Consider the following 15,680-nt stretch of genomic DNA (forward strand, 5'->3'; position numbering starts at 1 on the left):
GAAAGAATGTTTATGATCATGTTAGATAAAAAAAGCATATAAAACTTTAAATGGTGAGTGATCTGTTTTTTTAAGGCAGAGGATAAAGACTAGAAATAAACAAATCAAAGTGTTAATTCTCTCTGGCCAGGTGCGGTGGCTCATGCCTGTAATCCTAGCACTTTGGGAGGTCGAGGCGGGCAGATCACTTGAGGTCAGGAGTTTGAGACCAGCCTGGCCAACATGGTGAAACCCATCTCTACTAAAAATACAAAAATTAGCCAGGCGTGGTGGTGGGCACTTCTAGTCCCAGCCACTCGGGAGGCTGAGGCAGGAGAATTGCTTGAATCTGGGAGGCAGAGGTTGCAGTGAACCCAGATCAAGCCACTGCACTTCAGCCTGAGCAACAGAGTGACACTCCATCTCAAAAAAAAAAGTGTTAATTCTATCTCTAATGTTACCATCAGATTTCTGGTGATTTTTCTGTCCTCTATGTTTTCTGGAGTAAACTTATATTAGACTTCCTGCACCACCTTCATGGCCTATTTGACAAACATCTGGTTTCCGTTCCAAGACGGCCGGTCCAGTCTGCAGCTCCCAGCGTGATCAATGCAGAAGACGGTGATTTCTGCATTTCCAACTGAGGTACCTGGTTCATCTCATTGGGACTGGTGCCCATGGAGGGCGAGCCGAAGCAGGGCGAGCCAAAGCAGGGCGGGCCGAAGCAGGGCGGGCATCGCCTCACCCGGGAAGTGCAAGGGGTCAGGGGATTTTCCTTTCCTAGCCAAGGGGAGCCTTGACAGACTGCACCTGGAAAATCGGGACACTCCTGCCCAAATACTGCGCTTTTCCAACAGTCTTAACAAACAGCACACCAGCAGATTATATCCCGTGCCTGGCTCAGCGGGTCCCATGCCCACAAAGCCTTGCTCACTGCTAGTGCAGCAGTCTGAGATCGACCTGCGAGGCAGTAGCCTGGCAGGGGGAGGGGGCGTCCGCCACTGCTGAGGGGCGTGTCCGCCATTGCTGAGGCTTGAGTAGGTAAACAAAGCTGCTGGGAAAGCTCAAACTGGGCGGAGCCCACCGCAGCTCTGAAAGGCCTGCTGCGTCTGTAGACCACACCGCTGGGGGCAGGGTGTAGCTGAACAAAAGACAGCAGAAATTTCTACAGACTTAAACATCCCTGTCTGGCAGCTCCTAGCATGGTTTTTGAACTCTGAGAACAGAGAGACTGTCTCCTCAAGTGGGTCCCTGACCCCTGTGCAGCCTAACTGGGAGACACCTCCCAGTAGGGGCCAACTGACACATCATATGGGTAGGTGCCCCTCTGGGACAAAGCTTCCAAAGGAAGGATAAGGCAGCAATATGTGCTGTTCTGCAATATTTGCTGTTCTGCAGGCTCCACTGGTGATACCCAGGCAACCTCATCAAAAAATGAGCGAAGGACATGAACAGACACTTCTCAAAAGAAGACATTTATGCAGCCAAAAGACACATGAAAAAATGCTCATCACTGGTCATCAGAGAAATGCAAATCAAAACCATAATGAGATACCATCTCACAGCAGTTAGAATGGCAATCATTAAAAAGTCAGGAAACAACAGATGCTGGAGAAGATGTGGAGAAATAGGAATGCTTTTACACCGTTGGCTGGAGTGTAAACTAGTTCAACCATTGTGGAAGACAGTGTGGCGATTCCTCAAGGATCTAGAACCAGAAGTACCATTTGACCCAGCGATCCCATTACTGGGTATATACCCAAAGGATTATAAATCATTCTACTATAAAGTCACATGCACACATATGTTTATTGTGGCACTATTCACAATAGCAAAGACTTGGAACCAACTCAAATGTCCATCAATGATAGACTGAATTAAGAAAATGTGGTGCATATACACCATGGAATACTATGCAGCCACAAAAAAGGATGAGTTCATGTCCTTTGCAGGGACATGAATGAAGCTGGAAACCATCATTCTCAGCAAACTATCACAAGGACAGAAAACCAAACACCGCATGTTCTCACTCATAGGTGGGACTTGAACAATGAGAACACTTGGACACAGGATGGGGAATATCATACACCAGGGCCTGTTGTGGGGTGGGGGGAGGGGGGAGGGATAGCATTAAGAGAAATACCTAATGTAAATGATGAGTTAATGGGTGCAGCAAATGAACATGGCACATGTATACCTATGTAACAAACCTGCACATTGTGCACAGGTACCCTAGAACTTAAAGTATAATTAAAAAACAAAATTCAAGGGAGACGATAGACAACTAAAATGAGCACAGAGCATGTAATATGATCCTCTAAGGCTACTTGTGAATATCCCAAGAAATCTCTGAAAATGGCTGACTTTGGAGGAAACCAGCTATAGAATTCTCTAAGGAATATGTATCACTGGAAACCACAATCAAAGATTTGCTGAAACACTATTATTACACCTTATTTTTCAAGTAGGATAAGAACATTATTCATTTTTTTTTTTTGAGACGGAGTCTTGTTCTGTTGCCCAGGCTGGCGTGCAGTGGCGTGATCTTGGCTCACTGTAACCTCCACCTCCCATGTTCAAGCGATTCTCCTGCCTCAGCCTCCTTCGTAGTTGGGATTACAGGCGCATACTACCATGCCCGGCTAAGTTTTGTATTTTTAGTAGAGATGGGGTTTCACCGTCCTGGCCAGGCTGGTCTCGAACTCCTGACCTCATGATCTGCCTGCCTTGGCCTCCCAAAGTGCTGGGATTACAGGTGTGAGCCACTGCACCCGGCCTATTTTATTTTTCAAACTGCGTATTTTACCTCTTAAAGGTTTACATATAAACTTTTACATATATCATCTTCCCTAAATTTGGAAATCTAAACAATGAAATCATTTAGAACTGCATTCTAAAAGAGGTTTTAAGTGATGCGTAAAGGCATGTTAAATTTTCCAAAGCAAAAGGGAGATAAACCAATCAACTTTCTATGCACATTCATAAATGTGAATGAAAGTAGTAAAAGCATTTAAAAATCAACCATGGATGTAGATATGTAAAGTAGTATTACTATATGTAGAGAGTATAGCTAATATACTCAAATGAATACCTTTTCTCTTTCTACTTTAAGCCTCTCTTTTTCTTCTTTTTTCTTTAGTCTCTCTTCTTCAACAATTTTTTTCAATTCTTCCCTCTTTTTCTCTTTATCTTCTTTTTCTTTTTTCTTCGCTTCTAGGGCATCTGCTTTTTCTCTTTTTAATTTAGCCTTTTCAAAAGCTGTGAAGAAAAATCAAACTTAGAACTATATATATAGACAAAATAACACTTGGCAATTTTTTTGATGTAACAACAGAATCCTTGAAATAATTTAAAGTTAAATGAGATTAGTAGAGACTCTTAAAATTCCTACAGGGAGCCAGCAGATTATTAAAACAGGAAAAGCAAATTGGCTAAGTTTATGACAAACTACAGTACTGGGACAAACATATCTGTGCCTTTGAAAGCCCTAATACCCAAAGTGTGATCTGAAGACCAGCAGCAAGGTTATCATCACCTTGTTAAAAAATGCAGAATCTCATTCCCCCACCAGACCTACTAATTTAGAATCTTCATCATTTTGACAAGATCCCCAAGTGATTCATATGTACATTCAAGTTTGGGAAGCAATGTTTTAAAAGGCTGTGTGAATCAAACAAAATAGCCCCAGTTTGTAAGCCCTGGAAACTCAAACTTCTGCTTAATCTAGCACTAAGCAATTTAATAGGGAATATGCAAGACCATGAAATTTAAAGAGATGAAGCGGTCTTATTTATAAAACAAGCAAACAAACAAATAAACAATAGTTATCTGATAGAAAAAATAACTGCACTTCAAAACAATTAACCAGAAACATGCCATTTCGGAAACATCCCCCACTCAGGCACAGAGAAATATTCTTTCTTATTCCTAATTAGCTTTTGGAAACAATGTTAAAACTCACCCAGTGACTTCATTTCTTCTTGTTTCAAAAGTTTATCTCTTTCTTTAGTAGCTTTGCTCCTATAACTTGCAAGAGTCTGTTTATTAGCAACATTGTCCTCCTAAAAAACAAACCAAAATAGTATGCCTGGTTCTTATAGTAAGAATAAAAAGCAAAAAATTTAAAACTCTCACCAATTACACTTTCTTTATACTAAAATGATTTTTTTATTTTTTTGAGACAAAGTCTCGCTCTATCCCCCAGGCTGGAGTGCAGTGGTGTGATCTCGGCTCACTGCAACCTCTGCCTCCTGGGCTCAAGTGATTCTTCTCCCTCAGCCTCTCGAGTAGCTGGGATTACAGGCATGTGCCACCACACCTGGCTAATTTTTTTTTGTATTTTTAGTAGATACAGGGTTTTGCCATGTTGGCCAGGCTGGTCTTGAACTCCTGACCTCAAGTGGGCTACTCACCTCAGCCTCCCAAAGTACTGGGATTACAGGTGTGAGCCACTGTGCCCAGTCTAAAATGAGTTTTTATTCTAAAGTATAATTGGGCCGGGCACAGTGGCTCATGCCTGTGATCCTAGCATTTTGGGAAGCCACGGCGGGTAGAATACTTGAGGTCGGGCGTTTGAGAGCAGCCTGGCCAACATGGTGAAACCCCATCTCTATTAAAAATGCAAAAATTAGCTGGGCGTGGTGGCATGCACCGGCAGCCCCAGCTACTCAGGAGGCTGAGGCAGAACTGCTTGAACCCAGGAGGTGGAGGTTGCAGTGAGCCAAGATCGTGCCACTGCACTCCAGCATGGGTGACAGAGTGAGACTCCATCTCAAAAAAAAAAAAAAAAGTGTTACTGAACTGTTAATAACTCTAATCTTAGTAATAAACAGAACATGAGTTAACTCTGTAGCTCTATAAATTATTACAAGAATATCTCAGGAAAAACTGGTAATATATAGAAAGATCCTTAAAAATGCATTAGAAAAACAAACTCTCAGCTTACTTTATAAACTAGATGGTGTAAATATCAAATATAAAAGATGCAGAAAAAAGACATACCAGAAAAATTCTTGTGGCCAATGTCAAATTTTATTTTTATTTTATTTCTTCTAAGAATGTCTCTAACCTAATTAATTTGTGTAGTTTTTTGTTTTGTTTTGTTTTGTTTTTAAGATGGAGTCTTGGCTTTGTTGTCCAGGCTAAAGTGCAATGTGGCATGATCTGGGCTCACAGCAACCTCAGCCTCTGTCTGCCTCCCGGGTTTGAGCAATTCTCGTGCCTCAGGCTCCTGTATTTTTAGTAGAGACAGAGTTTTGCCATGTTGTCCAGGCTAGTCTAGAACTCCAAGACTCAAATGTCCACCCACCTCAGCCTCCCAAAGTACTGGGATTACAGGCAAGAGCCACTGTGCCCGGCTGCATTATTGCTTTTTTAAAGCCCCCTATAGCTTCTTCCTGTCAGAATTTATTGCTCTTTATTCTACACTTCAATCCCATAGTTTATTCCCTGCTTTACATTTCAGTAATTGCTTATGTGCTTGCTTCCACTTTGGTATAGAATCCTTGTGGTATGAAAGTCATATCTAATTCACACCTGAAACTTCTACAAGCCTCATTGCTGAGCAGTTATCAACATATAGTACACACTTACATACTTTTTGGTGAGGTAATGAGTTTCTTCCTCTAGGCTATGGATGTGAGGGGAGACAAACATACTTCTTGATTCTGAATACTGTTTTACTAACAGTGAAAATGTAGTTTTAATCAATTCTGTACTTACTTGACTAATATGTATTCGTTTGGGAGGTCTCCCTCTTCGTCTGTTAGCAGGACTGAAGATAAATGTGGGTGGATCATCAGGGAAGAAATAAGAAAAATCTTGTTCTGCTATTTTATACGTTGAAAGAGATGATGCCTTAATAAAACAAAGACATAGGGTACAATAATAACACATTAGTAAACAACATACAGATATGCCCTAACATGTCATATGGCCACTATTAATGCTGTTAAAAGATCAGGATAGGCTGGGCACAGTGGCTCATGCCTGTAATCCCAGCACTTTGGGAGGCCGAGGCGGGCGGATCATGAGGTCAAGAGATCGAGACCATCCTGCCCAATATGGTGAAACCCCATCTCTACTAAAAATACAAAAATTAGCTGGGTGTGGTGGCACACGTCTGTAGTCCCAGGTACTCGGGAGGCTGAGGCAGGAGAATCACTTGAATCTGGGAGGTGGAGGTTACAGTGAGCAGAGATCGTGCCACTGCACTCCAGCCTGGTGACAGAGTAAGACTCCATCTCAGGAAAAAAAAAAAAAAAAAAGATAAGGATAAAAACATTAGAATTTTATGCATTATTGTGTAGTAAAATACATTTTAGTTGGTTTAACCAATCCTTTTTCCACTATATAATTAATTAGCCTTACCAAAAAGAAAACCACAATTCAAAGATTACAATAAAATACCTCAAGAATGGTTGTACAGTTTCTTGTATTTCAAAATTACATATATATTATACAATAATTTGTTTTGCTTTGACAAATTTTGTGAGATTTTCTACATAAATGAATCAATCTATGTAAATGAATAATCAATCCATATATTTAACATTAAAAATCTACTGTATTAACCTGATAAATTTTTCTTAACCATTTGCCAACTGCTGAACATTTATTTAGATTTTCCTCCCAGGGTAGAGTAATAACTTAACTACTTAATATATCAAATTTCCCATTACATCCCTCTAGTCTTGATAAAAGCAGAAATACTTGCAAATTCCTATAAAGTTTAAACAAAGAATTTAAGTTCAGAAGTCAAACTCATTCTTGCCAGAAATGGTGTGGTTCTAGAATAATTATTAAATCCAAGAGTTTATCTCCTTTTACCTTGTATCTAGAATTTGTTTGCCTTTTAAAGTTTTTTTAATTTTATTTACGTATTTATTTATTTTGAGACAGAATCTTGCTCTGTCATCCTGGCTGAAGTGTAGTGGCATGATCTCGGCTCACTGCAACTTCTGCCTCCTAGGTTCAAGTGATTCTCCTGCCTCAGTCTCCGGAGTAGCTGAGATTACAGGTGCGTGCCACCACATCTGGCTAATTTTTGTATTTTTAGTAGAGACAGGGTCTCACCATGTTGGCCAGGCTGGTCTCGAACTCCTGACCTCAAGTGATCTGCCCGCCTTGGCCTCCCAAAGTGCTGGGATTATAGGCATAAGCCACTGCGCCCAGTCTTGCTTACCTTTTATCCATGTGCAACCCTAGACTTTTTGTTATTTTTGACCTAATGGCCAAGATCATCATTCTTCCTCTCAAACAAGTGAACAAAAGCAAGTGCCATTTACTGAAATACCTTTCAGGAAATGTGTGAGAAAATAATGACACAAAATACAAAAAGTTAACAAAACAGAAAAGGGTATTTTGTGTATAATTATTTTTGTAGGTAGAGCACAGCTTTAAACACCTGGAATTCCACCAGTTCTGGCCATGATAATAAATCAAGAATCTATCAAAATTTCCCATTAAAGAAGATTTCATTAAAATAATCATATTCCATCCCATATAACCTCAGAATTATGTGGGGTAACAGGATTATCTACAGAATAGAATTATGTAATTGTCTACAGAATTGCACCTTAAATATGAAATAAAGCACATGGGTGGTTTCTTCTCAAATATCACACTCATAAAGGCCAAAATACGTTTTAGTACATTAATTGCCAAAGTTCCTTATTCATACACACAATACACAAAACCCACATCTTTGTGTACTTGTAGGTACTCCTAACAGCAGTCTATGCTCACCAAAACTGGTTATCAAACTTTGTGTGCTTGCTCACAAAGGGCTGTGCTGATATAATTTGGCTCTGTGTCCTCATCCAGATCTCATGTGGAATTGTACTCCCCAGTGTTAAAGGGCAGGCCTGGTAGGAGGTGACTGAATCATGGAGCAGGCTTCCCCCTTGCTGTTCATGAGATCTGGTTGTTTGAATGTAGCACCTCCCACTTCACGCTGTCTCCTGCCAGCCATGTGAAGATGTGCTTGCTTTCCGCCATGATTGTAGGTTTCCTGAGGCCTCCCCAGAAGCAGAAGACTGTACAGCCCACAAAACTGTGAGCCGATTAAACCTCTTTTCTTTATGAATTACCCAGTCTCAGGTATGTCTTTATAGCAGTGTGAGAATGGATTAATACACCAGCATATCCATTAATAATCTTCTATTACACTCTAAGTGAAAAATGTTTATTGTGACCTTAATTCCCATTTATTTATTAAGTTGAGCTTCTTTCCATGTTCATTGACTTTTTCCTTGGTGAAATATTTGCTGATGTCTTTCATCACCATTTTCCAGTTGGGTCATCTTTGCTCATTGATGTGTAAGAAATCTTTGCAAATTAGAGGAATTGGCCAACTGGGTGTTTACAATATACATATACAACTATTCACATATATCGATTGCCTACCACGTGTCAGGCACTGTTCTAGCCATTTATTGCAAGTATCTAAATCATTAAAACTTTTTGTAAGCATCATTTAATATGGCTGCCTGATAATGCTATAGACAGAGCATAATTGAATCTTATCAAGGCAGATACATAAATATGCTCACATTTTTAAAAAATTATTTTTCAGATGACGCTATCTTACGTTTTCAAGTTTTTATATTTCATCCACGGTGAATTTTAGTCATATCTATTTGACCATTTTCCTACTGGGGTGCTTATGTTTCTCTAGTTAATTTGCGTTCTTCATTGTATTTACTCAAGGTATTTTTCCCCCAGCGCTTGCCCTTGAAATCTACACATGACTTTTTTTTTTTTTTTCCCTTAGACGGAGTCTCCTGTTGCCCAGGCTGGAGTGCAGTGGCGCAATCTTGGCTCACTTATTCATGACATTTTAAAACCTATGTTTATGCTCAATCTCATCCTTGGTATTTTTTTTTCTATTTCTCCTAAGTACCTCATCATGTTTAACATTAAAATTTGTTTCATTTCTTTTGAGTTAGATTTAACTTTATTATTCCAATAGTTAACCAAGTGTCCATTTTTATTTATCAGTCTTGCCTCTAGAGACCTGAAATGTTAACTTTTCGCATAAACTCATTCTTTTTTTTAAAGTTTCTCTTCTTTTTAAACATTTATATACAGTGAAATGCACAAATCTAACACATGCAGGAGCTGATTTGTGACAAATGCATACATCTCTCTAACCCATGCTACTGCCTTTTTAAACTTTTATTTTAAGTTCAGGGGTGCATTTGCAGGTTTGTTACATAGTTAACGTGTCATGGGGGTTCTGTTGTGCAGATTACTTTATCACCCAGGTTTTAAGCACGTGCCCATTAGTTATTTTTTCCCATCCTCTCCCTCCTCCCACCTTCTGATAGGCTGAAATCCCAGGCTCAAGTGATCCTCCCACCTCAGCCTTCGGAGTAGCTGGGACCACAGGCATGAGGCTCCATTCTATTGCTTTTTTCACTTAGTGTGTCTTTATCCCAATAAAAGTTGAATATTTTGCATTTTAAAAAATTACTTTGAGTTTTACCATTTAACTTTTTATTTAGTGTGCAATGTGAAATCTCTAAAACTTGACTTTTTCCTCTCTTAATGGTTATAGACAAAATATAATCTGTCTGCTTAGTATTAGCATGATACTTTTTATTTTTATTTATTATTATTATTATATTATTTTGAGACAGGGTCTCACTCTGTTGTCCAGGCTGGAGTGCAGTGATACAATCACAGCTCACAGCAGCCTTGACCTCTCCAGGCTCAGGTGATCCTTTTACCTCAGCTTCCTAAGTAGCTGGGACTACAGTTACCCACCACCACACCCAGCTAATTTTTCTAATTTTTGTAGATACAGGGTTTGCCATGTTTCCCAGGCTGGTCTCCAGGCTGGTCTCCTGGGCTCAAGCAGTATGTACACTTTGGCCTCGTGAAGTGCAAGGATTACAGGAGTAAGTCACGGTGCCCAGCCAATGCTCTTTTTATTATACATTGTTCTCTTATCTAGTAGGCTCTGTTTAGCATTGTTCTTTGAATCTGTCTATTCTTTGTAAGCGAGAACCACACTATAGGTATTAGGAAGCTATAGTTGCCCCACCTGATAACTTTTCTTTTTCCAAATTTTCTATTTTCACCTGTCCTTGTTGATCTTTTTTGTAAGTGGCAGTAACTGAACCACCTAGCGATTCCAGCAATTTTAGAAATAGTAATTAATCCAATATTTTTCAGAAGTACTAAAAATTGGCTCCAGATTAAAAGAGAGCAATCTTTAATCATCTTTGAAATAACATTTCAGCAATGTTATAACTTTATAACACTACCCATTTTGTTTTCTGTCTTCCAACAAATAATTTCATTATTTGATTACCTTTATTTTAATGACTCCATCTTGTGGTTCACAGTGTTGCTTCAGAAAAAGCTTTAGTTTATCACGAGAAAATAGGTGTTTTCTCCGGCTACAGGAGGCAAGGAAGTCAAAGAGGGGTAGTGTTAGCATCAAAGAGTTCAACCCCAACTCCATAATCTCTGTAAATTTGTAACCTGAATTTCAGAAAGCCTAGGAATCAAAGGACACACTTCATCTTCTAACAGTATTTATGTAGAAGTTACAAGAAACTTTTACAGAGGTATTTATTAGGAAGTTATAAGATCTACATGAGTGAATCTATTATAAAAAGTCTATTACAAAAACAGCAATATGCATTTGTTGTTTAGGGGCCACTGAGAAAACAAACTTCAAGAGCCGGGCGCAGTGGCTCACGCCTGTAATCCCAGCACTTTGCGAGGCCGAGGCGGGTGGATGACGAGGTCAGGAGATCAAGACAATCCTGGCTAACACGGTGAAACCCTGTCTCTACTAAAAATACAAAAAATTAGCAGGGTGTGGTGGCGCGTGCCTGTAGTCCCAGCTACTCGGGAGGCTGAGGCAGGAGAACAGCATGAACACAGGAGGCAGTGAGCCAAGATCACACCAGTGCACTCCAGCCTGGGCGACAGAGCAAGACTCTGTCTCAAAAAAAAAGAAAATAAACTTTAAGGAAAATATGCTATAGAGAGTAAATCAAATTTTATAAAATTAGATTACCCCTACAAGTATAACCATTAAAATTCTCTTAAAAATTAAAATCAGGCCAGGCACAGTGGCTCACACCTGTAATCCCAGCACTTTGGGAGGCTGAGGAGGGTGGATCACTTGAGGTCAGGAGTTCGAGACCAGCCTGGCCAACATGGTGAAACCCCATCTCTACTAAAAATACAAAAAAAATTAGCTGGGCGGTAGTGGCACATGCCTGTAATCCCAGCTACTCAGGAGGCTTAGGGTGGAGAATCGCTTGAGCCTGGGAGGCCGAGGGTGCAGTGAGCCGAGATCGTGCTGCTGCACTCTAGTCTCGGAGACAGAGTGAGACTCTGTCTCAAAAAAACAAAGCAAAACAAAACAAAAAAAATTAAAATCAGTAGACTACCAGAAATCGTATTAAGTGCTGCAAATCAATATTCAAGTGGATATTGTAAACAAAATTGAACATAGCTTGTATCAAATTTTAAAACATTTTGTATTTAAATCTCATGACAACCAGCAAATTAGTGGGATGAAAATTAAAAGAGGCTTAAAATTAATATTCTAAAACATACTGTTTTTTATTCTCCCTTGCCCCCCAATTAAAAACAACCACAAGAGTACCAAACACCACCACAAACAAAACAAAACCAATAGAAAAGAAATAGAAGTATTTTTGGGAAAAAGTAAATGTTTTAATTGAGTTCAATATATTCCTTTCAAGAAAAAGCCGTTAAAAGCTCCTATAAGTGAATAAACAATATATGATTTTTAAGTAGTGGCCTTCCCAAAAATGTATACAGTTAGCCCTCCATATCCTTAGATCAAAAGTATTTGGAGAAAATAAAAACTGCATCTGTACTAAACATGTGCAGACTTTTTTTGTTGTCAGTATTCCCTAAACAATACAGTATAACAATGATTTACACTTCATTTACATTGTATTAGGTATTATAAGTAATCTGGAGATGATTTAAAGTATATGGGAAGATGTGTGTAGGTTAAATGCAAATACTACACCATTTTATGAAACTTGAACATTCAAAGATTTCCCTCCCACACAGATAACCAAGGATGACTATATTCTTTTCCTAGACTTAAAGCTCCATGAGAACAAGGACTCTGCTACATCTCTGCAAGCTGGTAAAGAGAAGGTAATTACTTGTTGACTACTGAAGAAACTAGTCCTGAAGGACTTCATTAGTTTACATGGTAGCTACCAGCCACATATTGTTTATTTATAAATAAAATTAAAAACTCAGTTCCCTCATTCTTTCTAGCTACATTTCAAATGCTCAATAGTGACACATGGCTGTTGGACAGCATACATGTAACATTTCCATTATAAAAGAAAGTTCTACTTGTCAATGCTACTCTAGCATATCAAGTCTTCTTCTTTATTAGAGGAATATTACCATCTCTTTATTTAAAAAAAAGTATTGTACTATTTTTTGATGCTAACAAAGAGCTATAAGTCACTTAAGTCTTTTATTATGAAGTATAACTTTCTCACCTTGTAATTCTTTGGCTTACCAATTAGGAAGAAAATGAGCTAACCAAGGCTGTAACCATGGCCTAGCAGAATAATTATATTTAAAGTATAAGTCAAAAAGTAAATAGAAAAATGAAAAATATTAAATAGGGAATTACATTATGTAAATAACATATCCTGAACTAAAGGCAAAAGAAAAAAACTCAACTGTGAATAAGGAAAATATCTGTAGTCTCAACAATTGCTATTCATTAGCCCATAAACTAAACAAATTTTTAGAAGTTTGAATAATCAAACATTAGTTTTAGAATATTATTTTTGAATATAAAGTAAAATGTAGAATGCTCTAGAGATCTTAAACTAATGATGAGCCCCCCAAAACCAACCAACCAACAAACCACACACACCTCAATACAGCCACAGAAAGTGATATATCTATCTCAGGATTCTCTTAATACTTATATTATTATCACTTTCGTTTGGATACATGAATATATATGGAACAAAAGGGATGAGAACATAAGCAAAAATTATTTTACACTAAATGAAATACAAGACTGACTCCTAGGTGGCAGGTTGATAGCTGGCTGATATCATCTTGCTTTCAGATGACTAAGAGCCTAAACCCAACAGACAACAATAGGGATTTTCCTAAAATATATCTGTATAACCTAAAGCCAGTTCTTTTACGTATTAACTACTCACTAAAGCAACTTCTTACATTAACTTCTGTCTCCTTTGATTAGGCCTCAAACAGGAACTTTTTAAAGATACTCATTTTTTATGATTTAACTTTCTTAATGAATAGGAAAAAACTGATCAAATGTTTGTCTAATGAATACTACAAACGTGACGTTTATAAGCACCTTTATTAACATTAAAAATTGAGTTATCTCATGAAAAGTACTTCATAAATAGGACCCTTTTTAATTCTTTAGATAGAAGACTATTTGGGGTTAGTCATCTAAACAAATGGCTCAATAAGTCCATTAGGATTTTTTTTTTTTAATAGAGACAGGGTCTTGCCACGTAGTCCAGGCTGGTCCTGAACTCCTGGCCTCAAGTGATCCTCCTGGCTTGGCCTGTCAAAGTGCTAGGATTACAGACATGAGCTACTGCACCTGGCCTCCATCAGGATTCTTAGGATTTATTTTAATCAGTCTATGAACATATAAATGTACATTTATTTTTAAGAAGGAAAGCAATCACAGTACTTCCCATTTGTTCTACATCAGACCTTCTTAATCTAACATACATAATTATTCTACTTTAAACTACTATTGAGAAGATAGTGAGTTTTACCTGATTTGTGTTGCTTTAACAATAGCAGACTCATGTAATTCTTTTTTAGTGGGTTGCACTTTATACTTGAATAGTAAGGGATCAATTGCATCTTTTTTCTTCCTAAAAAGAAGAGGGAAAAGACACAAATCAGTTAATAATTTGGAAAATGAAATTTTAAATGAAAACCTAGTTTCTAAGAATATACTATAATAAAATCACATATTTCAAAATTTTTTTTTGTTTTTGAGATGGAGTCTCACTCTTGTTGCCCAGGCTGGAATGCAATGGTGCAGTCTCAGCTCACTGCAACCTCCGCCTCCTGGGTTCAAACTATTCTCCTGCCTCAACCTCTTAAGTAGCTGGGATACAGGCATGCACCACCATGCCCAGTTAATTTTGTATTTTTGGTAGAGGTAGCGTTTCACCATTGGTCAGGCTGGTCTCGAACTACTGACCTCAGGTGATCTGCCTACCTTGGCCTCCCAAAGTGCAGGGATTACAGGCATGAGACACTGTGCTTGGCCACATATTTCAAAATTTTAAAATTTTATTTTTTTTTTAAGAGACAGAGTCTCGCCTTGTCACCCAGGCTGGAGTGCAATGGAATCATCAAAGCTGAGTGCAGCCTCAAACTCCTGGCCCCCAGAGATCCTCCTACCTTGGCGTCCCAAAGTGTTGGCATTACAGGCATGAGCCACTGTACATGGCCATGCATTTTTACTTTAACTGGGGTTTTATAAGTTACTGATCCCTGCCTCCACCATTCTATTAGCCAAAACAGAAAAAAGCACTATTTTGTTTTAGGTAGGTATTTTAGCTACTCATTCACTACATTTTCTTTGGGTGAAGAAAGTAACTAGAGATGAAGCATAGACTACCCAGTTTAAAGAGTAAAAAATAAAAATAAAAAAAGTTCTTGGATTTGCTTTTAAACTTTATTTACAGCTATATAATCCAAGAATAAAAATGGAGACAATGTAGTTTAATTGACCAAGAGACTACACATTTAATCCCTACCCCCCACCAACTTCACATCTTTTCTTCCCTTTGAGGGTATTTATTTATTTATTCAATAGTTAAGAGCCCGCAATATGCCAGAAACTACTCTAAATAGTGAAGATTCAGCAGTCAACAAAATAGAAACAGTGACGAGATACAGGCAAACAAAAACACATACAACAGGAGAAGTGATAAGTGCTATGAAGAGAACAGAGTGCAGGGTGGGGGAGCCATTATTTTATACAGATAGTGATCTCTGATAAGTTGACCGAGTATGCCTTCAAAGAGGTTGATATTTAAGCAGAGATCTGGGGGGGGAGGGGAACAAAAAAAAGGGAGCAACTCATGAAAAACCTTGGGGAAATGAATTTTTTAAAAAAGAGAAAAAAAGTAAAAACCCTGAGGTGGAAGGAGGCATGCACAATTTAGACAAGTAGCAGAATGAATAAGGAAAATGAAAGAAGATTCAGAGATGTAGCAGCAGTGCCAGATTATGAGACTTTGGATATTGAGTAGTCACTAGAGGATTTTTAATAATAAGGTGATAATGACTTAACTTACACTTCAGAAGGGTCACTCTGGCTGCTATGTGGAAAAGACACTCTGGGGAAGACACTCTGGGGCAAGAGTGTAAACAGGAATACCAGTTAGAAAGCTACTGAGAACTGATTGCAGCATGGACTTAAATGGAAGTAGCAGCAATAGAGAGAAGAGGTAGGATTCTGAAAATGCCACCTCTGTGAATGTAAAGAGGATGTAAGTGGGGGTTATAGAGAAGAGCAGAAAATGATATGGTAAGATGATTAAGAGAAGCATTGGCAATGAGAATAAGATATAAAGTTACATAAATATAGCACACATAAAGCAGGGAAAGTGTTTAACACAAAAGGGATATGATACAATTAAACAAGTAAAACT

At 38.4% G+C, this 15,680-nt stretch overlaps 1 protein-coding gene across 7 annotated transcripts in view; it reads right to left on the reverse strand.

The window, feature by feature from the left end:
* BAZ1A (bromodomain adjacent to zinc finger domain 1A) overlaps positions 1 to 15,680 on the reverse strand; it is a 122,630-nt gene that overhangs the window by 44,423 nt on the left and 62,527 nt on the right. For all 7 annotated transcript variants that reach the window (XR_007063978.1, NM_182648.2, NM_013448.3 and 4 more), the window contains 5 exons: positions 13,782 to 13,883; positions 10,298 to 10,385; positions 5,701 to 5,835; positions 3,941 to 4,040; positions 3,071 to 3,237 (listed from right to left, as the gene is read on the reverse strand). Coding sequence is in view for 6 of the 7 variants with exons in the window: in NM_182648.2 (NP_872589.1) it covers positions 3,071 to 3,237; positions 3,941 to 4,040; positions 5,701 to 5,835; positions 10,298 to 10,385; positions 13,782 to 13,883 (592 nt within the window). In the remaining variant the exon portion in view is untranslated. The remainder of the gene's footprint in view (positions 1 to 3,070; positions 3,238 to 3,940; positions 4,041 to 5,700; positions 5,836 to 10,297; positions 10,386 to 13,781; positions 13,884 to 15,680) is intronic.

The sequence above is a fragment of the Homo sapiens genome, chromosome 14 (genome assembly GCF_000001405.40).
Source record: "Homo sapiens chromosome 14, GRCh38.p14 Primary Assembly".
NCBI lineage: Eukaryota > Metazoa > Chordata > Mammalia > Primates > Hominidae > Homo > Homo sapiens.